Source organism: Homo sapiens, chromosome 1, assembly GCF_000001405.40.
Source record: "Homo sapiens chromosome 1, GRCh38.p14 Primary Assembly".
Lineage (NCBI taxonomy): Eukaryota > Metazoa > Chordata > Mammalia > Primates > Hominidae > Homo > Homo sapiens.
Window position 1 is genome coordinate 175,035,875 of NC_000001.11, and position 23,359 is coordinate 175,059,233.

At 41.5% G+C, this 23,359-nt stretch overlaps 1 pseudogene, besides 3 other annotated features; it reads right to left on the reverse strand.

The window, feature by feature from the left end:
* Positions 7,685–8,220: an enhancer, noted in NCBI's record as "H3K27ac-H3K4me1 hESC enhancer chr1:175012695-175013230 (GRCh37/hg19 assembly coordinates)". NCBI's record gives its function as "activates a minimal SCP1, AML or CMV promoter by ChIP-STARR-seq in primed H9 embryonic stem cells {active_cell/tissue: H9 hESC(primed)}" and the evidence as "EXISTENCE:reporter gene assay evidence [ECO:0000049][PMID:30033119]".
* Positions 8,221–8,756: an enhancer, noted in NCBI's record as "H3K27ac-H3K4me1 hESC enhancer chr1:175013231-175013766 (GRCh37/hg19 assembly coordinates)". NCBI's record gives its function as "activates a minimal SCP1, AML or CMV promoter by ChIP-STARR-seq in primed H9 embryonic stem cells {active_cell/tissue: H9 hESC(primed)}" and the evidence as "EXISTENCE:reporter gene assay evidence [ECO:0000049][PMID:30033119]".
* ENTR1P2 (ENTR1 pseudogene 2) lies at positions 8,555–9,974 on the reverse strand (annotated as a pseudogene).
* Positions 18,586–19,785: an enhancer, noted in NCBI's record as "P300/CBP strongly-dependent group 1 enhancer chr1:175023596-175024795 (GRCh37/hg19 assembly coordinates)". NCBI's record gives its function as "activates an origin of replication core promoter dependent on BRD2, BRD4, P300/CBP, MED14 and CDK7 cofactors, with strong dependence on P300/CBP, by STARR-seq in HCT116 cells {active_cell/tissue: HCT116}" and the evidence as "EXISTENCE:reporter gene assay evidence [ECO:0000049][PMID:35650434]".

Below are 23,359 nucleotides of genomic sequence, written 5' to 3' on the forward strand. Positions count from 1 at the left end.
TCCAGGAGAGCCCCAGCAGCGCTCTCTTTTCCTGCTGCCTCGGTGCTCAAGATGATGGTCTTTTTGAGTGTCCAGCTGATTCTGTTGCTCACTTACCATTGTGTGGGTGCCTCTCTCATCCCTTGCCCAAGGAAAGCCTACACTTTGAGGTTTTGAATCTCTCTCAGTGACCTTCAAGGCACTCCCTCCCAGCTGCCTGTGGCCCAGGCTGAAACACAATGTTTCATGTGGTTTCAGGGATGAGGTCACACCCATTTTCTTTGCAATATCCTTAACAAATTTTCATTTGCGGGAAATAAAGAGTAGATAGGAAAGCAGCCTTTTCTTTCACATCATTTCTCCTTATTCTCTTTTCTTTTTCGTCTTCCTGGTTTTTCTAAATTCCAACGCCATCTAATGAAAAGGGAAAATGTTACTAATAGCAATTTAGCTTAAGTGCATTGCTTTTAGTAGCCATGGGGACAAAAATATCAAAGAGCCATAAGTTAATAGGATTCAAGAGTAGAAAACTTCTGCAAAGCTACAGGGCACATCCTGATGATACCAGCACAAAGCTGATGTCCCTTTTCTGCAGAAGATACACAGTACAGGTGAGCCTGCAGGTCACCCGGCAGCCCTAGAGCAGTAGAAGTATGTATCATGTTATTATGTCTGTAGTCCATGCTGGGGCCTGGGAAGGAGCCAGAGACAGCATGTTCCCTTTACATTCCATGTTTGCCAAAAAGACCCTCTCCACAGCTTTCTCCCAGGGCCTGATCTAGAAAACCCAGAGATCCTTAAGTTCCACCCATCCCTTGCCTTCAGGCTAACTGCTGCTAGAGTAAGAAAAATGTCCCTGAATGTGCCTCGTCTCCTGCTGGGAGTATCACTTGTCAGTCAAATCAGGTGAATTAGCATTTTGTCCCGATTTACTTTAGAAAAGAAAATGAAAACTATCTCTAGATGCATTTTTGTATCCTTTGCTTTGTGTTGTCAATAAAGAGCTAAAATAATTTTTCTGTGTTATTCACTAATTGTTTCCTGTTTTGTCTCTGAGGGTGGAATTCATGCCATAATACTTTCTGGGGTTTCTCACAGCACACAGCACAAGCCTGAGGCACATCGTAGGCATTCAGCATTCAGTAAACCCCTTTTTGATCAAATGGTTTACAGGATTGAGTTCTACTTGCTGGACCTCTGCTTTCGGTATTCCATTTGGGTTTTTTTTTTCCTCTCCCTTGGATATAATTCATAGTGAATTGATACCCTTGGTATCTCTGTTCTATATGAGGAGAAGAAGAGAGAAAAAAAATATGATGGTAACTACCTAAATCACTCAATTTCCATACGACACAAGCTGCGGGGTCATGTTTTAATGTTCATTAGAATCCTGTACAGCACTGAGAAATCTAGTGTTAATTTCTTAAATGATACATGAAGAAGAAACTATCATGAATGCATTTACTCCTCTCATAGGACTACAGATCAATACTTTGTTAATATTGACTTCCTTCTGTATTAGTCCATTCTCACGCTGCTATAAAGGACTGCCCGAGACTGGGTAATTATAAAGGAAAGAGCTTTAATTGACTCGTAGTACTGCAGGGCTGGGGAGGCCTCAGGAAACTTAGAATCATGGTGGAAGGGGAAGCAAACACATCCTCCTTCACATGATGGCAAGAAGGAGAAGTGCCGAGCAAAAGGGGGAAAAGCCCCTAATAAAATCATCAGATCTCATGAGAACTCACTCACTATCACGAAAACAGCATGAGGGTAATCACCCCCGTGATTCAATTACCTCCCACCGGGTCACTCTCATGACACATGAGGATTATGGGAACTACAGTTCAAAATGAGATTTGGGTGGGGATGCAGCCAAACCATATTACGTTCTATTACAGGGAGTGCTAATTTTTCTCTCCCTCTAGAAATGTAAACTCCATAAGGGCAGGGACGATGATGAAGAGTCTATGCTATTTTGTTCAATTCTGTATCCCCAGTTCATAGAACAATCCCTAGCACAATGGTATGCACACACAATAAATATTTGTGGAAAGACTGAATAGGATTTATGTTATGTGTGGTATAATCTTACAGATTATGGTAATCAGCAAAGTAGAAATTAGACTCATCTCATATGTCTGAAATCTGTCCTTGGGGTTTGACATCAGGCTGTGACTCCCACTTGGGTTTGAGTTGGGATTCTGTACAAAACCTCAGCCCCATGCTTTAGGTAACCACAGGGTCTGCTTCTGGAAGAGAAGAAGTGTTTCAGTAATGAAGGGAAATGGTGACCCATAGGAAAAGCTGATGTAATGGAGATGAGGGAACAGACCCACACGTGGATACTTCCCTACTGAATACATTTGTGTATGTGGATGTCCATAGCTACCACAGAGGCCGTTCACAGTGTCCTCTTTCTCCCCTTTGCCTCACTTGGTTATTCTTTACCCCTCTATAGTAATAGTTTGAGTTTTGATTCATGTTGATTTTATTTATTGACAGAGTCTCACGGTGTCACCCAGGCTAAAGTGCAATGGCATGATCATGGCTCACTGCAGCCTCAACCTCCCTAGGCTCAGGTGATCCTCCCACCTCAGTCTCCCAAGTGGCTGGGACATGCCTGGCTAACTTTTGTATTTTTTTGTAGAGACAGGATTTCTCCATGTTGCCCAGGCTGGTCTCGAACACCTGGGCTCAAGTCATCTGCCCACCTCAGCCTCCCAAAGTGCTGGGATTGCAGGTGTGAGCCACTGTGCCTGGCCCATGTTGATTTTAATACTTAGAAAGAATCAAAGAAGATTGACACTAGTCACTGTTAATGATGTTTTTTGGGTTACTACATCTTAGTCATCTTTGTTTCCTCTGAGAACATATAGACCTCTCAGATATAGACATGGGTTTGTTAACCTTGCAGTGCACTAATGAGGCTGAAAGATCATCAGCTCCATTTTTCAGATGGTGAGACCAAAGCACAAACACTTACCTGGGGCCAAGAAAGCCTGTTCTGCTATTATGGTCTTTTATCCTGGTGCCCAGGCCTTCTTGACCTCGTATTGCCAGAATGCAGTAGGATTTTGACTTGTCCCTACTATCTGATGGAGAAAAGGATGAGTCCCATGGTTCTAACAGTATCTTTTTTTTATGCTGTACATTTATTATCACTGGAATAAAAGCCTGGGCAAAAGATACCAACTATAAAGCTCTTTGAATTTAGTACTTGTCAGTCCCTACAGGGAAACAGAGGGTGTCAGAGAAAAATGAACCGGTGGAGATTATGCAGCCTCAAAAGGTTTTTAAATAATGAGCGATCTCTGGTCTATACATTACAGTGTAAATTCCAGATGCTTGAATTTTCAAGTTTTCAGTCCTGAGGGTGGGATGTAGTATGAGTTACAGACTCTGGAGCCAGACTGTGTTGGCTCGACCATCTGCTTGCCCTGGGACCTTGAGCAAGTTACACGACCCCTCTGTGTGTAAGAGTCTAAACCTGCAATACTCCTCACCTCACTGGGCTGCTGTGGGGATTAAAGGATTTAGCAAAATTCATACTTAAAGCACTTAAAATAGCAACTAGCACACAGTGAGTATTGAACAAATGCTCTATGATGAGCATAACGATGGTGATTTCTCATTCTAACTGGGGCTACAAGTATACTTTTCTCTCATTTTGTCTAATGTCATAAAATGGCCGTTTCTATAACTTATTGACATTCAGATTGCTGGATTTTACCCCCAAATGAAGCTCTTTGGATATTTCCAGCAAAGGAAAAGAAGAGGAAGAAGATTTAGGAAGAAAGCAGAGGAGTGTTCACAGACATAGTAGAAAAAATAATTAATTCTTGAATTCACTCAAGAATTAGGATTCACCTTTATTAAGTATCTACCATATGCAAAATATTGTGCAGGGATGTGGAGGGTGCATATCACACACGTGTACATGCGTGTGCATGCATGTACACAGTATTGTTCCTGCCCTCAAAGAACCTATACCCGTCTCCTCCAGGAGGCTTTCCTCGGGACTCCAAGCAAGGTTAGGATTGCTCCTCTGTTTGCTCCTAGCACCCTGCACTCACCTCCGGCACTCATGTATTATTGGGCTTTGTAATCGCCTGCTGTCTAGAAACCAGTGAGCTTCAGGAGCTTACAAATCATGTCTTCTTGGCTTTTGTAGCACCCAGAAGTAGTTCGCTGGACAGGGCAGGACTGGACAGAGCTGGTAGAGGTTGTCTCTTTGGTGTAGATCTTCCTCTTCTTCCATTGGCTTTGGTGCCATAACTTTAGCCTTAGACCTACCTTACTTTTAGGACTAATTGTTATCCTTGACCCCTTCTTGGTTCCTCTTCACCTGTGAGCTTCTTTCTTTGCCTCTTTGATCCCACTGGAGACACTAGGCCTCACCACAAAGCCAAGAGAAAGAAAGGGCCTGTCTTCTCTCACTGGGAAGGAAGTGTAGAGGGCTCAGCTCACCCACAGCTTCTTGAGCTTCAGGAGATCAAGGCTGTGCAGGCTCTGGCTTTTGCATCCCTGGAGGTGGTCTCTCTCTTTAAGATTTCTCTGCCTATTCACTCACCTTCCACTGGGAAGAGGAACCCAGTGTGGAGTGAAACTGGGGGCTAGGGGGAAGGTTGGCCAAAGCTTTGATCAAAGAGCTTCCCCATCAGCTGTGTTTACCTTGCTCTTTGTTCTCTGTCTCCCCAGCCAGGTTCTCAAGCACAGAGTTCTCAGGCCAGCCATTCCTGGGGCAGCAGATGGATCTAGTTCATCCCTCAGTTGAGTCTCTGCAGCTTCTGGCTTCTGTCAGTGTTCAGAACTTTGGGACTATTTGAAAGCAACCACACATTGTGTGTCTGCAACGTGTTTATGCCAAGCACAGTTTCATGCAGATGTTCATAAACACGCTGCCAGTTACTAACCATCTTTCTGTCAGTCTGAATTGCTATTTGCTTTTCCAGTTCAAACAGAGAGGCACATACTCTGGTGACATACAGATTCCCTAATACACGCTATCCACTAAGACGTCAGCTGAGGTGCCTTCCCCCACGTTCATGCTCACACACTCTCCATGCACCCCAATGTCTTCTGCACAGACCCGCCTCATCTCTGTCTCCCTGTGTGGTTATGTTTATCCAGATCCTTCCTTTGTAATTGTTTTTGAAGCTTAGTTTTAAACCTCTCCCAAAACCACAGTGGCATGGTAGAAGGTAAGGCTGCCAAAGTTTAAAAGAGTCATGATGTCTGCTTTCCCCTTGCCTCAGGCCATCTTCTTCTTATGGAACATTGTAATGGAAAGGTGCACGGATCTTTTTCTGCACTTGCCTGACGGCTCCTTCTGGAACATAAACAAAAAGTTCCATGGTCCATGTGGCGCCAGAGCTCTACAACAGAGGCTCATGGTAGAGGCTATTGGATGAGCCGTGGTTAGTTTTGGACTTGGCTAGACCAGCAGGATTCCTGGGGGATGTTTTTTTGTCCTCTGTCATTGCTGAAGGTCTGATTAGAAGAACCAAGCAAAATAATGACAGCTCTTGAAATTCTGGGTTTTACTTTTCAGCTTATCCAAGTCAGTGGTGATTTGGTTTATATGACATATTTTTTGACGAGAAATATATTCTTAAAAAGTCATTCTCTACTTCCTTCCTCCAAATCTCAGATTCTGGACCCTTGGCCCACATTGTTTTTTAATTCCCCTGCAGGGCTGGGAGGCTCAGCCGGCAATAGCCAGCACATCCAATACACCCATCATCACTACTCATCATGGAGGAGCTGGGTAAAGAGTCAACCTCTTCCCTGGGATTTATTTTATTTTATTTTTTTATTTTAAAAATATTTTTATTTTACTTTTTGTGGGTTTTAGTAGGCATATATATTTATAGGGTACATAAAATATTTTGATACAGGCATACAATACATAATAGTCACATCATGAAAAATGGGGCATCCATCCCCTCATGCATTTATCCTTTGTGTTACAAACAATCCAATTATACTCTTTCAGTTATATTAAAATGTACAATTAAATTGTTATTGACTGTAGTCACCCTGTTGTGCTATTGAATACTAGGTCTTATTCTTTTTTTTTTTCTCTGTCGCCCAGGCTGGAGTGCCGTGGTGTGATTTTGGCTCACTGCAACCTCTGCCTCCTGGGTTCAAGCAATTCTCGTGTTTCAGCCTCCATAGTAGTTGGGATTATAGGTGTGTACCACTACCTTTGGCTAATTTTTGTATTTTTAGTAGAGACGGGGTTTCGCCATGTTGGCTAAGCTGGTCTCGAACTCCTGGCCTCAAGTGATCTGCCCACCTCGGCCTCCCAAAGTGCTGGAATTACAGGCATGAGCCACTGCACTCAACTTTATTCATTCTTTCTAACTTTTTTGTACCCATTAATCATCCTCTGATTTTTAGATCCCAGAAATAAGTGAGAACATGCAATGTCTGTTTTTCTGTACCTGGCTTACTTCTCTTAATATAATGACCTCCAGTTCCATCCACGTTGTTGCAGATAACAGAATTTCATTCTTTTATTATGGCTGAAGTACTCCATATATGTACCATATTTTCTTTATTCATTCTGTTGACGGACACTTAGGTTGCTTCCTAATCTTAGGTATTGTCAACAGTGCTGTAGTAAATATAGGAGTGCAGATGCCTTTTTGAAATACTGATTTCCTTTCTTTAGGGCATCTACCCAGCAGTGGGATTGCTGGATCATATGGTAGCTCTATTTTTAGTTTTTTGAGAAAACTCCAAACTGTTATCCATAGTGGTTGTACTAAATTACATTCTCACCAACCATGTACAAGGGTTCTCTTCTTTCTATATCCTTGCCAGCATTTGTTATTGCCTGTCTTTTGGATATTAGCCATTTTAACTGGGGTGAGATGATATTTCATTATAGTCTTGATTCGCATTTCTCTGATGATCAATGATGTTGAGCACCTTTTCATATGTCTGTTTGCCGTTTTTATGTCTTCTTCTGAGAAATGTCTATTCAGCTTTTTGCCCTTTTAAAAATTGGATTATTAGATCTTTTCCTATAGAGTTGTCTGAGCTCCTTATATATTCCAGGTATTAATCCCTTGTCAGATGGGTCGTTTGCAAATGTTTTCTCCCATTTGTTGGGTTGTCTCTTTACTTTATGGATTGCTTCCTTTGCTGCACAGAAGCTTTTTAACTTGATGTGATCCCATTTGTCCATGTTTGCTTTGATTGTCTGTGCTTGTGGGATATTACTCAAGAAGTCTTTTCCCAGACCAATGTCCTGGACATTTTCCCCAATGTTTTTTTTAGTAGTTTCATAGTTTGAGGTCTTAGATTTAAGTCTTTAAACTATTTGGAATTGATTTTTGTGTATGGCAAGAGATAGAGGTCTAGTTTCATTCTTCTGTATATAGATATCCAGTTTTCCCAGCACCATTTATTGAAGAGGCTGTCTTTTCCCCAGTGTGTTCTTTGCACCTTTGTAAAAAATAAGTTCACTGTGGGTGCATCAATCTGTTTCTGGGTTCTCTATTCTGCTCCATTCGTCTATGTGTCTGTTTTTATGCCAATACCATGTTGTTTTTGTTACTTTAGCTTTGTAGTATAATTTTTAGTCGGGTAATGTGATTCCTCCAGATTTGTTCCTTTTATTTTGGATAGTTTCGCTATTCTGGGTCTTTTGTGGTTGCTTATAAATTGTGCGATTGTTTTTTCTATTTCTGTGATGAATGTCTCTGGTTTTTTGATAGGGATTGTATTGAATCTGTAGATTGCTTTGGGTAGTATGGACATTTTAACAACGTTGATTTTTCCCATTAATGAACATGGAATATCTTTCCATTTTTTGGTGTCTTCTTCAATTTCTTTAATCGGTGTTTTATAGTTTTTATTATGGATGTCTTTCACTTCTTTGGTTAATTCCTAGGTTTTTTTTGTGAACTACAGAATTTATTAAATAAGAAGGCTATCAATTGGAACAGGAGGGAAAAAAAGTTTAAAAAAAAATCTATAGGAAAAAAGGCATTTAGTACTCGTGGCCTTCCCTCTGCGGGAGGCCGTCAGAAAGGCAGCTGGGACCTCACAGACCCGGGTGGGCTCTGCACATACTTGAAATTCCTGAATTCTAAACTGCATTGTACAAAATGCCACTTGAAACGTCCACCAGAACCCCCAGCCAAAGACGCGCATCTGGACAGCTTCACAGCACAGAATGTGTGACCTTGGTCCCCGTGGGTCCTGGGGGAGGACAGCAGCAGCCACGCGGTGGCCCCTGCGCACTCGGGCCATGACCGCACGGACCGCCCTCTGGGGCCACAGGAGTGACCTGGGAGCCAGAGGGAGCCCTGAGTGTCGGCGTAAGGCACAGGTCCCTGCCCAGGATCGCCGTCTCAGAGGCACATTTAGTGTTTGTTCTACTTATGAAATCAAGGACAATCAATTGTACTTATCTTACAACTGATGTTCTGGGATGGGACTGGAAAACACTGATTCCAGAACCGCTCTTTTTCTTAAAATCTTTGGCTTTTATGACAGTGTCTTCCTCATTAGAATCTGTAAGATCGCAGGAATTTCGCCAAGAAGGGCTGCATAGAAACCACAGAGGCAACTCGGCCAGGGCTGCTCCCATTGCAGTGGCCAAGAACTGGCTGAGGTCACGACACTGGACCCTTGCGATAAACACTTTACTCTGGGTAAAGACTGCATATTTAAGGACGCAACTGCACATTTAGATCAAGCGGTGGTGATTTCAGGGCATACAAGGAGCTTCATGCTGAGAACACCCAGGGGTCCTCAAGAGTCTTCCTCCTCGTCTTTAATTTCAGAAATTCTGTTTATAGATTTAAGGATTTCAGCAACCAGATTCACTGTCTCAGCTCCGGAAACCAGTTGCTTAATGGAAGCCTGTGCGCTGTTCATGACCACCCGGAGGTTCTGCAAGGCCACGTCGGCGTTCTGCTTCACCACTGTCAGGCTGGCGCCCTGGCCGCACTGCAGGGCGTCATTCTCTCGCTGGAAGTTGGAGACCTGCGCCTGGAGCAAATTGATTTCCTGTTTCAGTTTCACGACGTGGTTTTCTGCCTTTACAGCCCGTTTGGTCATCAGCTCCAGGTTCTGCTCCACCTGCTGAACCACCGACTCCAAGTCGTGGTAGTCGCTTTCCTCCTTGATCATTTTTGCTTCTAATTTCCGCTCAAGTGTCCTCACCATTTCTGTTTGAGCTTCAGAGAAGCTCTGAACCTCATTCAGCTTTCTCCTCAGCTTAGAATTTTCATCTTTCAATGCTTCATAACTTATCTGCAGCGTCCGCAGGTGCCTGTCTCCCAGAGACTCTCCATGAGCCGCAAAGTCTGCGCTAGGACTCCCTGCCGGAGAGGCCGGAGGCACGAGAATCAGTGCCACTCAACGCCCACGGGGGCAGAGACTGAAGCCCTGCCAGCTCCGACGGGGTGGAGAAAAAGGAAAGGTATGTGCTGCAGGGCAACGTGGCGGCAGGGACCCTCTCGGGGTGAGTCTGCTTGATGGCGGACGGCAGGTAGGCCCCACTCCATCTGGTGTCCTCATCCTCCTCCTTATCCAGGAGGTCACTGGCCCCTGTCGGGTCCTCGAAAAATGGCTGCTGATACTCTAGGCCATACTCCCCGGTTTGGGAGGGTGAGGAGTTGTGGTCAAGTCCCAGTGAATGCCTCGAGGCTTCCTTTGCATAAATTCTGCTGGCTGGGTCCTCTTTTGACAGGCGGAGGTTCTTGGTCTTCAGAAACTCTTTAAAGAAGAATGGATTTGCCTCTTCAAGATCTTCAAATTTGTCATCGTCGGGAATGGCGAGGCTCCGGGCTCGGGACAGCGGGGTGGCGCCCGGGCGGCGCGGGTAGCCCGACATCGCCGCGGGCCCGGCGGGGCAGGACCTGCCTAGCCCGGCAGCGGCGGCTCCATGGCCCGGGCTCCGCCAGTGCCGCGGCCAGTGTAGCCGCCCCAGTCGCCCACTGCTCGGCCGCCCCCGCTCCTCCGAGCCTCTCCATTTCTTAGGTATTTGATTTTATTTGTAGCTATTATTAGATGGGATTACTTTTTAAATTTCTTTCTCAGATTTCACTGTTGGCATATAGAAATGCTACTAAAAATGCTAATTTTTGTATATTGATTTTCTGTTCTGCAGCTTTACTGAATTTATCAGTTCTAATAGTTTTTTGGTGAAGTTTTCAGGTTTTTCCAAATGTGAGATCATATCATCTGCAAGCAAAGGTAATTTGACTTCTTCCTTTCCAATTTGGATGCCTTTTATTTCTTTCTCTTGTCTGATTGCTGTAGCTAGGACTTCCAGTACTATGTTGAATAACAGTGATGACAGTGGGCATCCATGTCATTCTCCAGGTCTTACAGGAAAGGCTTTTTGTTTTTCCCCATTCAGTATGATACTAGCTGTGGGTCTGTCATACATGGCTTTTATTATGTTGAGGTATGTTCCTTCTATATCTGGTTTTTTGAGGGTTTTTATCATGAAGGGACGTCGAATTTTATCAAATGCTTTTTCAGCATCAATTAAAATGATCATATCATTTTTGTCCTTCATTCTGTTGATATGATGTATCACACTGATTGATGTGTGTATGTTGAACTATTCTTGCATCCCAGGGATAAATTCCACTTGGTCATGATAAATGATTTTTTTTTTTTTTTTTGAGACGGAGTCTCTCTCTGTCACCCAGGCTGGAGTGTAGTGGCGCGATCTCGGCTCACTGTAAGCTCCGCCTCCCGGGTTCACGCCATTCTCCTGCCTCAGCCTCCCGAGTGGCTGAGACTACAGGTGCCTGCGACCACACCCGGCTAATTTTGTGTATTATTAGTAGAGACGGGGTTTCACCGTGTTAGCCAGGATGGTCTTGATCTCCTGACCTCGTGATTCGCCCGCCTTGGCCTCCCAAAGTGCTGGGATTACAGGCGTGAGCCACCACGCCCACCTGATGAATGATCTTTTTAATGTATTGTTGAATTTGGTATGGTAGTAGTTTGTTGAGGATTATTGCACCAATATTAATCAGATATTGGCATGTAGTTTTCTTTTTTTTTTGATGTGTCTTTGTTTGGTTTTGGTATCATGCTAACCTCAGAATGAGTTTGTAAGTATTCCCTACTCGTCTATTTTTGGAATAGTTTGAATAGGATTGGTATTATTTCTTCTTTAAATGTTTGATAGAATTCAACAGTGAAGTTAAGTCCTGCGCTTTTCATTACTGGGAGACTTTTTATTATGGTTTCGATCTTGTTGCTTGTTATTGATCTGTTCAGGTTTTGGATTTCTTCATGGTTCAACCTGGGGAGGTTTTATGTGTCTAGGAATTTGTCCATTTCTTCTAGATTTTCCAATTTATTGGCATATGGTTGTTCATAGTAGCCACTAATAATCTGTTGAATTTCTGTGGTATCAGTTGTAATGCCTCCTTTTTCATTTCTGATTTTATTTGTTTGTTTATCTTCTTTTTCTTAATCTGGCTAAAGGTTTGTCTTTTTTTTTTTTTTTTTTTTTTTTTTTTTTTTTTTTTTTTTTTTGAGACAGAGTCTTGTTCTGTCACCCAGGCTGAAGTGCAGTGGCATGATCTCGGCTTGCTACAACCTCTGCCTCCCAGGTTCAAGTGAATCTCTTGCCTTAGCCTCCCAAGTAGCTGGGATTACAGGCATGGACACCCCGCCCAGCTGATTTTTGTATATTTTATAGAGACAGGGTTTCACCATGTTGCCCAAGCTTGCCTCAAACTCCTGACCTCAAGTGATCCTCCTGCCCTGGGCTCCCAAAGTGCTGGGATTACAGGCATGAGCCACCACACCCAGCCTCTATTTTGTTTAACTTTTTAAAAAACCAACTTTTTGTTTCTTTTATCTTTTGTATTGTTTTCTTCATTTTAATTTTATTTATTTCTTCTCTGATCTTTATTATTTCATTTCTGCTACTAATTTTGGGTTTGTTTTGCTCTTGCTTTTCTAGTTCTTTAAGATGCATTGTTAGGTTGTTTATTTGAAGTTTTTCTTCTTTTTCAATGTAGGCACTTTTAACTATAAAATTCCCTCTTAGTAGTGCTTTTACTATATCCCATAGTTTTGGTATGTTGTGTTTTCATTATCATTTGTTTCAAGAAATTTTCAAATTCCTTCTTAATTTCTTCATTGACTGGTCATTCAGGAGCATATTGTTTAATTTGCATGTATTTGTATAGTTTCCAAAATTATTCTTGTTATTGATTTCTAGTTTTATTCCATTGTGGTCAGAGAAGATGCTTGATATTATTTCAATTTTTTTAATGTTTTAAGACTTGTTTTGTGACCTAACATGTGATCTATCCTTGAGAATGATCCACGTGCTGAGGAGAATATGTATCCTGCAGCCGTTGGATGAAGTATTCTGTAAATATCTATGAGAACCATTTGGTCTATAGTGCCGATTAATGTTTGTTTCTTTGTTTATTTTCTGTCTGGAAGATCTGTCCAATGCTGAAAGTGAGGTGTTGAAGTCTCCAGCTATTATTGTATCAGGGCCTATCTCTCTCTTTAGCTCTAACAATATTTACTTTATATATCTGGGTGCTCCAGTGTTGGGTGCACATTTATTCAAAATTGTTATCTCCTCTTGCTGAATTGACTTATTTATCATTTTTTTTTTGAGCGGAGTCTCATTCTGTTGCCCAGGCTGGAGTGCAGTGGTGCAATCTCAGCTGATTGCAAACTCCACCTCCTAAGACCCCTTAATCATTGTATAGTGACCTTGTTTGTCTCTTCTTATAGTTGTTTTTTTTTTTGAAATCTATTTTGTCTGATAGAAGTATAGCAACTCCTGCTCTTTTTTTTTTTGTTTCCATTGGCATGGAATATCTTTTTTCATCCCTTTATTTTCAGTGGATGTGTGTTCCCTGGCATTTAAGGATCTCCAGCATCTGGCTCCTACTTGTCACTCAATGTATTGCTCACTTCTTATAACTCTTGCCTTGATTAAAATGATGCTCCTTGTTTCATATAATTTCCTGATATTCTCACCTTTCTGACAATTCCTTTTCAATTTCCTTTTAGGGCACCTTTTCCTCATAAATATCAGTTTCCCAAAAGTTTTGATGTTGGTCTTTTTCTGCCCTTTTCATCTTATGTACGTTCTTATTTACCTGGATGGCTTTACTATAATCACCAAGTCCATATGTTTGTCTACATCTAGAAATCTCTCCTGAATTCTAGACCTGGATAATTGCATATATTTTTGATGTCTCAATGGGCACTTCAAACTCAACTTGTCCAAAACCAAATTCAGTTTTTTTCCTTGAGCTTAGTTCACTTACTGTATTTTTAGTCTAAAAGAATGACCCACAAGCCAAAATCTGGGATTCACCCTGCGTTTCTTCCCACTCCTTACTTCTCATCTGAAATTGCAACTCTTATCCCTCCCTCTAACAATTGCCATCTCCATCTCAGAAAATTTTATCACCATACATCCAGCTGCTCAAGACAAAACTCTTGAAGTCTCCCTGATCTCTCTCTCTCTTTCCATCATTCCAGTATCTAATCCTTCAGCAAGTCCTATCGGTTCTATCTCCAAAATTTTCCCCAAGCCTCTGTTTCTTGTTGAATGAATCCAAGTAGTCACTAGGTTCTGCAGATTCTTTTCTGTAACATCTCCATAGCTCTTCCTCCCCTCCATTGCTCTGCCCTTTATTCAGTATAGGTACTCTCCGTCCCTTGTCAAGATGACCATAACTGCCTTCCTACTGGTCTGTCTGTCTCCAGTCTTATACCCTGTAAAGCCATATTGATTAATTCCAATGATATTTAATGGAGGGACCACTGTGCTTGGGAAACATCTGTGATCCTGCCCTCATGGGGCTTATGTTCTGGTGGGAAAGACAGACATTCCATACTTCTAAGTATCACAAATGGTGCGAGAACCCTAGGGAACAAGAGTGTAAAAACTTGGAGAGCTAACTTAGCCTTAGGTGTCAAGCAAAGCTTTTCAGTGAAGCAAAGTTTCAGTTGAAAACTGGGGAATGAGTAAGAGGCAATTAGGAGAAGGAGAAGGTGAGGGGAAGTGTAGGGTATCCTAGTCTTTGGAACCGTCGGATGACAAAATGTGTGATGAGCCTCCTCCACGCTGTGAAAAGTTTGATATTTCTATCTTCTTACTTGAAAAATTTTTTTCTGTTAGAAAGTAATCCATACTCATTGTATGATATTTAAAAAATATGAGACATGCAGGAAAGAAAGTAACATTTAATCACGTTTTTCCCATTCAGAGACAAGCATTGTAACATTGAGGTGCACGTCCTTTCAGCTTTGTCTAAGCCCATATATGTTTTCGAAATGATCTTTCTACACTAAAAATCTCATCAAATTATTTCCTTTCTTAAAAAGCCTCAGTGGCTTCTCACTGTCTAGGATTCCAGTTACCTAGCCTAATGCTTAGCAATAAATGTTTGCTGAATGTAAGGCTAATTGCATGAGTGAGCAACAGAATAAATGCTTGAGTATTCATCTCCATGCACTCTTCTTCTTTTTCCTTCCCTACTCAACAAAGCCTTGTCTTAGGTTCTGACTCTACCCAAAGCCTTCTTCAAAGGCCCCAGCTCTCATGATAACACCTATCTTTAAGCACAGATTGTATTGCTCTTGAGGTCCTCAGCAAAGGTTAACTGCCTTAGAATTTATTTTTCTATAGTTACACTTAGAAATCTTTTGTGCTTAATTGTCTGTGGACAACATCATGCCATTCCTTCTGCACTCCACCCTCATCTCAGGGGTTGAAAGCCGGAGAACCACATGTCCCTGAATACTTTGCTGGCAGTGTTCCCAGTTAGATTCCACCAATGAGAGGCATTCACCTGAGATCTGGAGTAAGAAAGGCAGCAGAAGCATTTCGTCGCTCTTCTGGTTGAGGAGGCACATGTGTGGCAGAGGTTTCCTCTGAAATTTTCCTGCTTTGCTGTTGTCGGCAGCTGGAATTATCAATGGTGGCTTTCTGCAGTTCCAGAAGCTCTGGATTTTCTAAAAGAGGCAAACTTGAGTTCTGACCATTGTGCCTTTGTTCCTTTCTAGCTCATTCTGTGTTAGTGCTTCTTTCTCTTGATGCCTCACCTGAACTCCCTCATGGGCTAGAGCTATGTCCTATGCCTCTTTGTATCTCCTTATGTGGCACAGTGCTTTGCCTGGCTTAGTTCCTCAATACATATCTGCTGCTGCTGAGAAAGACAGTAACATCCAATACTTCATTACTGTTGAAAAAATGCCTATCTTAGTGGACAGAGCTGTATCTTTCTAGTGACTTAACCTTCTCCTCTACAGTGGTTTACTGAGGATGTGTGTACTTGTGTAATATAACAGAAGAATGTTGCAAGACAGGTGAATACCTACCAGTAACTCAGCTCACCGAAGTGATAACACTAATTTTGCAGCACAACCAACCACCACTTGAAGAATTCACCAGTATTTATTAACCATCTATTGTGTAGCTAGAACTGCATTAGGCTTTGATGGGGTTGGATGCCGGGGGAAATTACTATAAACTTGTGTCCATCTGCTAGTGCCTAGTAGGTACCACGCATGGTGCTAGATGTTGAGATAATGTGGTCAATGAGCATGGCAGCTCTCTGCCCTCCAAGAGGTTACAGCCTAGTAAGTTCAATGCCTGATGGGTCTTACTGAAAAGAAGTAAGGCTGGACATTCCCCATTCCACCGTTACTCTCTGTGACCCTGGCCCAGATATCATCGAAGTCACCATGTCTACTGAGGCCCCTAGAGTTTCTAGAAGACAGGGCTGTGAACCAGGCCCTGTCTGGGGTTCTCTCCAGCATGCCAGCATTTATAGCCTCCTTGACTATTGTCAAGGTCAGCATGGTCCTTTCAGGATTGCTTTCTTCTTGCTCAGCACTTCATTTACTGCAGAAACCTGGCCTAGAAGCTCATGGCATCTGACCTTAAATATTAGGGAAAAAAAAAGAAAAGGAGAGTGGTAATGTGACTGTTGAAAGGTGGGGTTGGATGAACTTTTACAAACAGACTAGAGCAGTATTCTATGCCAGGCTGCAGGGTAGAACATATAGGGGATAGAATAACATTTAAATACTGTATTTTGAGATTTTAAGGAAAAAGGAAAGAAATATAAAATCTACTAAGTAACTGAAGAGGTGCAGTGGTGGCCATCCCATGGGTTTAGCTAACGTTTACTGAGGGTTTACTGTGTGCCCAGCACTGTTCCAAGTGAGTTATATTAATATTCATTTAATCCTCACAAAACCTGTGGGTAGGAATGTGCTACTATGATCCCCATTTGACAGGTCAGGCTACTGGGGCAGGAGAGAAGAACCTTGCCCAAGGCCACATCAATAAATGGTGGGACTGAAGTGTGAGTCTGGGTAGTTTGATCAAAATTAGGGGAGAAATTAAGTTTCCATCTTCTGGAATTTCTCTTGGTTCATCTGAGCTAGTCTGATCTGGCTACCCAGAGAGCAAGTGCCAAAGAAATGATAATTTTAAGAGGTAGTTGTAAAGTGGGCCTGTGGGTGTTTTCCATGACTGCTGTGATCTGAGATGTTTATACTCAGGCCCCAGCAGTCACAGTTATCTCTTGGGTCTAGACATCCCCCCCGCAAATGGGTATGTGTCATTTGATCATTGATCAGCCAGAAGCATCTTAGTGTGAATTGCCGCATCAATTCACTTTATTTTCAAGATGTGTAGCTCAGAACAGATAGATTGTAATGGAGGGCAAGGAGAGAGAAGGGGTAAGAGAAAGGGAGCAATAGGGGTTGATTTACTCAGCATCTGCTGCAGGATGTTAGGGGGCAAAAGTCCCTTCAGAAAAACATGTGACCTTGAAACTTTAGAAGTATACCCTTGAAGATCAAGATTAAAACAAGGATAGCAGCTTTCAGTACTCCTATTCAATTTTGTGCAAAAATATAAGAATAGAAAGGAAGGGAATCAAACTGTCATTTTCACATGATATTTTTTAGAGAAACTTGTGAAAATCTACGAAAAAGTTATTAGAATTAGTAAGGGAATAAAACCAAAAATATAAAGTAACTTAGAATAAATCTAACAAAAGATATATTAAGATGCTTATGGAGAAACCTATAGAACCTTGCCAGTAGAAAATAAACCAATAATATTAAATGGAGAGATAATGAAGAATAAATGGAGAGATAGCCCACATTTGCAGATAAGAAAACTTAATGTTCTGACTGGTACACCAGTGTTTCCTATATTTGTTTGCATGAGTGGCCATAACAAAGTACCAGAGGTTGTGTGGCTTAAACAACAGAAATTTATTTTCTTGCACTTCTGGAGGCTGGAAGTCTGAGATAAAGGTGTCAGTAGGGTTGATTCCCTTGGAAGGCTTACTCTTTGGCATGTAGATGGCCAGCTGCTTTCTTTGTCCTCACCTGGTCTTTCCTCCATGCTTAGAACATAGCAACAGGAATAAATGGACTTGAGTCACATGTATCAATAGTATGGCAGACAGATCTTAGGCAGACAGACAGATCCAGGCAGATAGACAGATCCCAATGACTCCTACCTGCTGGTGTCCATCCTTTTTGTAATCCCCTCCCTTTGAGCATGGGAAGAACCTGTAACTTGATGCTAATCCATAGAATATGACAAAAGTGATGGGATAGGTCTTTATACTATGTAAGACTCCGTTGTAGCAGACTAGAGCGAGAGACTTCTTATGGCCTTGAAAAAGCATGCTGCTGTGACATGAACTGCCCAGAAAGAGGGCCACATGGCAAGGAACTGTGAGCAACTTTTAGAAGCTGAGACCCTCGGCCACATAGAATCAAGGAAATGAGTTATGCCAAAACCTTGAAGGGCTTGGAAGTGAGTTCTTCTCCAGCCAGCTTCTCTAGATGAGATTGGAGCCCAGGCAGCACCTTGACTGCAACTGTGAGATCCTGAGCAGGGGACCCAGCTAAGCCACACCTGGGCTTCTGAGCCACACAAACTGTGAAACAATAAATATGTGTTGTTTTCAGCCACCACATTTGTAGCAGTTTGTTATGCAGCAATAAGAAATAAACACAAACATGGATAAAAACATAATATTGGGCCAGGTGCAATGGTTCATGCCTGTAATCCCAACACTTTGGGAGGCCAAGGCAGGAGGATCACTTGAGGCCAAGAGTTTGAGACCAGCCTGGGTAACACGGGGAGACCCGTCTGTACAAAAAAACTTAAAAAAATTAGCTGGGTATGGTGGTGCATGCCTGTGGTCTCAGTTACTCAGGAGGATGAGGTGAGAGAATCGCTTGAGCAAGGGAGGTTGAGGATGCAGTAGCCATGATCACAACACGGCACTCTAGCCTGGGCAAAAGAGTGAGACTTTGTCTCAAACAAACAAACAAACAAACAGACAACAACAAAAAACAAAAACACAAAACCAAAAACCAAACCAAAACAAAACAAAAAACTCTATAATATTGACAGAAATAAAGCAAGTTGCATCAAGAGACATACAATGATACTATTTACATAAAGCTTAAAAACACTTGGACCAATTCTATATACTGTTTAAACCTACCTATAGACATACGTGATAAAAATATAAAGATATGTACTGGAATGATAATCCCAATTTCAGGAAAGTGTTTCTTTCTTGGAGAGAGGGAAGTATCAGAGATACATACACAGGAAGTGTTTGTAATGTCTTTTCTTTCCTAAGCTGGGACCCTACCCAGCTTACAAGATACAAGAGGGTTTATAACACTCTTCCGTATATCTTTTTGTTTGCCTGAAATATTCCATAATTTAAAAAAATGTCTGTCTCGAGCTTTAAGCTCCAGTGGGGATGATGCTGTGTTGATAATGAATTTTGCCCCCTTCCCAACATTTTCCAGCCCTGTACTTGGCAAGAGCATGGGAAGAAGAAGAGCCTGTGAGGCCAAGCTAGGAATGGCCACAGGGGAGTAGAGCTGGAGGGAGATGGGAAGGCAGGAGGCAGAGGGATGGTGGTCTGCAGAGGTGCCTGTGGGAATCCTGTTCCCCAGTCACTCTAAGCTGCCTATACACTCATTTTTCAGGGACCAGATGGCCTTAAATGGGTGACCTCAGCACTTCCACAAGAGGACCTCGTCATTACCCGTGGCTTTGCCCTTGCATGGAATGGAACAATCGCCCACACAGCAGACTTGCTGTAATACCATCCTCTGAGAAAACAATTAAGAAGACTGAAAAATAAAGCCCAAACATTGGCAGTTAGGCTATTAGGGGGAATCAAACTTGTGTTTTGTTTTGTTTTTTAAAGCCTGAACAGCATGGCCTTAGGAGGAAAATCTGAGACAGGACAGTACCACTACCACTCAGTAGGAAAGGAAAGTAAGTGGATTTTCCCATCATTTTTAAGCAGTTAGTCATCTTCAGGGAGGGACAGTGGGGTCTTTCATCTTTTTGATTTACACCCATGAAATTTGGGAGATGTTAGGATGCCTTGGTTGTATAAGGAAACCTCTGATCCCCAGAAGCGATGTAGAGGGAATTTCCAGTGGTGTGTTGGTAACATTTAACAGCCGGCTTTCCAGGGGGAAAATCCATTTGCTGATTTCCATGGCATGAATACTCCCACAATGGCCGATTTTTAAGCTACCAATGTGATGTCACGGAGCATAATCATCTTTGGAAAGCCATACATGCTGGCTGCAACATACTGCTGGAGTTTCCTTCATTACAGGATGGTGAGCACTCCAGCTGGAGGTCGCAGCCTCAGGGAGGATGGTCACTGTCAGGGAGGAGACCCCTATATCTATGGACTCTCTCAGCTCCTTCTCAGTGCAAAAAATTCAACCTATGTATGATACTTCTCCCATCATCCCCAGCCTAGAAGGCAGGACTGTTTGCAGATCTCAGGGAAGCTTCATCTGGGGCTTAGTTTGGAAACTCTACTCTTGGAGAATTTCAAATTTCCATGTACTGTGTCCAGTTTTACCATCCTCTTGAAGTTTTGCAGTCTGAAGGGCATTTTCTGTGAAAACTTAGGGGGTCTATGTTGGTTAGAATGATTTGAGCACAAGTAAGACAGCACCCTTACCCAATTTGCTTAAATGATGAAGAAATAAATACTCAGAGAATGAAAAATCCCAAGGTAAGAAAGCACCAAGATTGATTAACTTAGGGGATCAAGAATGTCATTGAGGACCCAGATTCCTCCCATATTTCTTCTCTGTCATCCTTTGTCATGTTCAGCTCCCCTCATAGTAGTAAAATGGCTGCCATATTCCAGGCAAGGGTGACAACCACCATTGGAAGGAGAAGGACCAACTCTTACTATATTGGAAAACTGTTCCAGAAGCCTCATTTGACAGAATTGGGTCAAACATTCTTTTCTACATGAAACAATGTCAGGGAGACTAGAATTACTATGATTGTCTTAGAATAGATCAGGATTTAATACGAGTCACATGGAAGAGGTGTAAACAACCAGACAAAATTGTGGTCATGCTTGGTAGGCAACTGTCCTCCCAAGAATTCTTCCACTATTTCAACTCTAAGGCTGTCAACTTGACAAGTTGGTTTGGTCCTTTTGGCTGATTATAGAGATCCACTTGAATCAGAATAATCAACATGATCAGAAATAAATTATGCTATGTTTACTAAATTGATTAACCTCAAGATCAATTTATTTAAAAAGCACTTATTCAGGAGCTATGGGAACTTGGCACTCAGAAGCCACAACTAGTAGGCACCAGGCCCACCGGTATGTAGACATAAATAATTGGACTTAGAGCTCCTAATCAACAGACAGAATACATTAACATTTCTTCCAGGTGAGTAGAGGTAAATAGTTTAATTTTTTTATTTTTATTTTTTATTATACTTTAAGTTCTGAGATATATGTGCAGAACGTGCAGGTTTGTTACATAGGTATACACGTGCCATGGTGGTTTGCTGCACCCGTCAACCCGTCATCTACATTAGGTATTTCTTCTAATGCTATCCGTTCCCTTGCCCCCCACCTGCTGACAGGCCCTGGTGTGTGATGTTCCCTTCCCTGTGTCCATATATTCTCATTGTTAAACTCCCACTTATGAGTGAGAACATACGGTGTTTGGTTTTCTCTTCCTGTGTTAGTTTGCTGAGAATGATGGTTTCCAGCTTCATCCATATCCATGCAAAGGACATGAACTCATTCTTTTTTATGGCTGCATAGTATTCCATGGTGTGTATGTGCCACATTTTCTTTATCCTGTCTATTGTTGATGGGCATTTGGCTTGGTTCCAAGTCTTTGCTATTGTGAATAGTGCTGCAATAAACATATGTGTGCTTGTGTCTTTATAGTAGAATGATTTATAATCCTTTGGGTATATACCCAGTAATGGGATTGCTGGGTCAAATGGTATTTCTAGTTCTAGATCCTTGAGGAATCACCACACTATCTTAGCAAAAAGAACAAAGCTGGAGGCATCATGCTACCTGACTTCAAACTATACTACAAGGCCACAGTAACCAAAATAGCATGGTACTGGTACCAAAACAGATATATAGACCAATGGAACAGAACATAGGCCTCAGAAATAACACCACACATCTACAACCATCTGATCTCTGACAAACCTGACAAAAGCAAGCAATGGGGAAAGAATTCCCTATTTAATAAATGGTGTTGGGAAAACTGGATAGCTATATTCAGAAAACTGAAACTGAACCTGTTCCTTACACCTTATACAAAAATTAACTCAAGATGGATTGAAGACTTAAATGTAAGACCTAAAACCATAAAATCCCTAGAAGAAAACCTAGGCAATACCATTCAGGACATAGGCATGGGCAAAGACTTCATGACTAAAACACCAAAAGCAATTGCTACAAAAGCCAAAACTAACAAATGGGATGTTATTAAACTAAAGAGCTTCTGCAGAGCAAAAGAAACTAGCATCATAGTGAACAGGCAACCTACAGAATGGGAGAAAAATTTTGCAATCCATCCATCTGACAAAGTATTAATATCCAGAATCTACAAGGAACTTAAACAAATTTACAAGAAAAAACAAACAACCCCATCAAAAAGTGGGTGAAGGATATGAACAGGTACTTCTCAAAAGAAGACATTTATGTGGCCAAAAAACATATGAAAAAAGCTTATCATCACTGGTCATCAGAGAAATGCAAATCGAAACCACAATGAGATACCATCTCATGCCAGTTAGAATGGCTATCATTAAAAAGTCAGGAAACAGCAGATACTGGAGAGGATGTAGAGAAATAGGGATGCTTTTACACTATTGATGGGAGTGTAAATTAAATACTTAAAAAAGTGCATGTGACTATGATTTTCAACAGGAAAGAATGCCAGGACAATTTAATGTGGAAAGAAGAGTCCTCCCCAAAAATGCTCCTGGGACAATTGGATATCCACATGCAAAAGGATAGAGTTGGATTCTTGTCTCATGTCATATGCAAAAATTAACTCAAAGTGGATCACTGGCTTAAGTGTTAAAGCTAAAACTATAACAAACTTGTAAATCTCATAACCCTGGATTAGTCAATGGTTTCTTATATATGACACCTAAAGCACAAGAAACAAAGGAAAAAAATTTTGACCTTATTAAATTAAAAATTATGGTGCTTCAAAAGACATTATCAAGAAAGTGAAAAGATAATCCAAGAAGGGGAGAAAATGTTTGCAAACCATCTATCTATTAAAGGTCTAGTATCCTGAATATATAAAGAACTCTTACAACTCAACAATAAAAACCAAAAAAAAAACAAATGAAACAATGGGCAAAGAATTGTCCAAAGAAGATATACAAATGTTCAATAAGCACATGAAAAGATGTTCAACATCATTAATCATTAGAGAAAGGAAAATAAAAACTGTAACATAGCATTTCAGACCTGCTATAAAAAAAGACAAATAATAACAAGTGGGGACACAGAAAAATTGGAATTTTTATACATTGTTGGTGGGAATATAAAATGGTGCAGCCACTTTGGAAAACCATTTGGCAGTTCCTCAAAAAATTAAATATAGAGAGACCATATGCCCCGGAAATTAACTGCACTCCTAGTCAAATATCCAAATATCAAAGACAAAAGCATTTATCTGCATAAAAACTTGGACACAAATGTTCTTAGCAGCATTATTCATAAAAGCCAAAAAGTTGAAACAACTCAAATCTTCATCAACTGATGAATAGATAAACAAAATGTGGTATATCCATATGATAAAATATTATTTAGCCATAAAAAGGAATGAAATTCTTAGATATGCTACAGCATGTATAAATCTTGAAAACATTATGCTCAGTGAGAGAAGCCAGACACAAAAGGCCACATATTGCATGATTCAGTTTATATGAAATGTCCAGAACAGACAAATCCATAGAGACAGAAAGTAGATGAGTGGTTGTCATGGACTGGGGGAGGGGGAAGTGGGAAGTGAC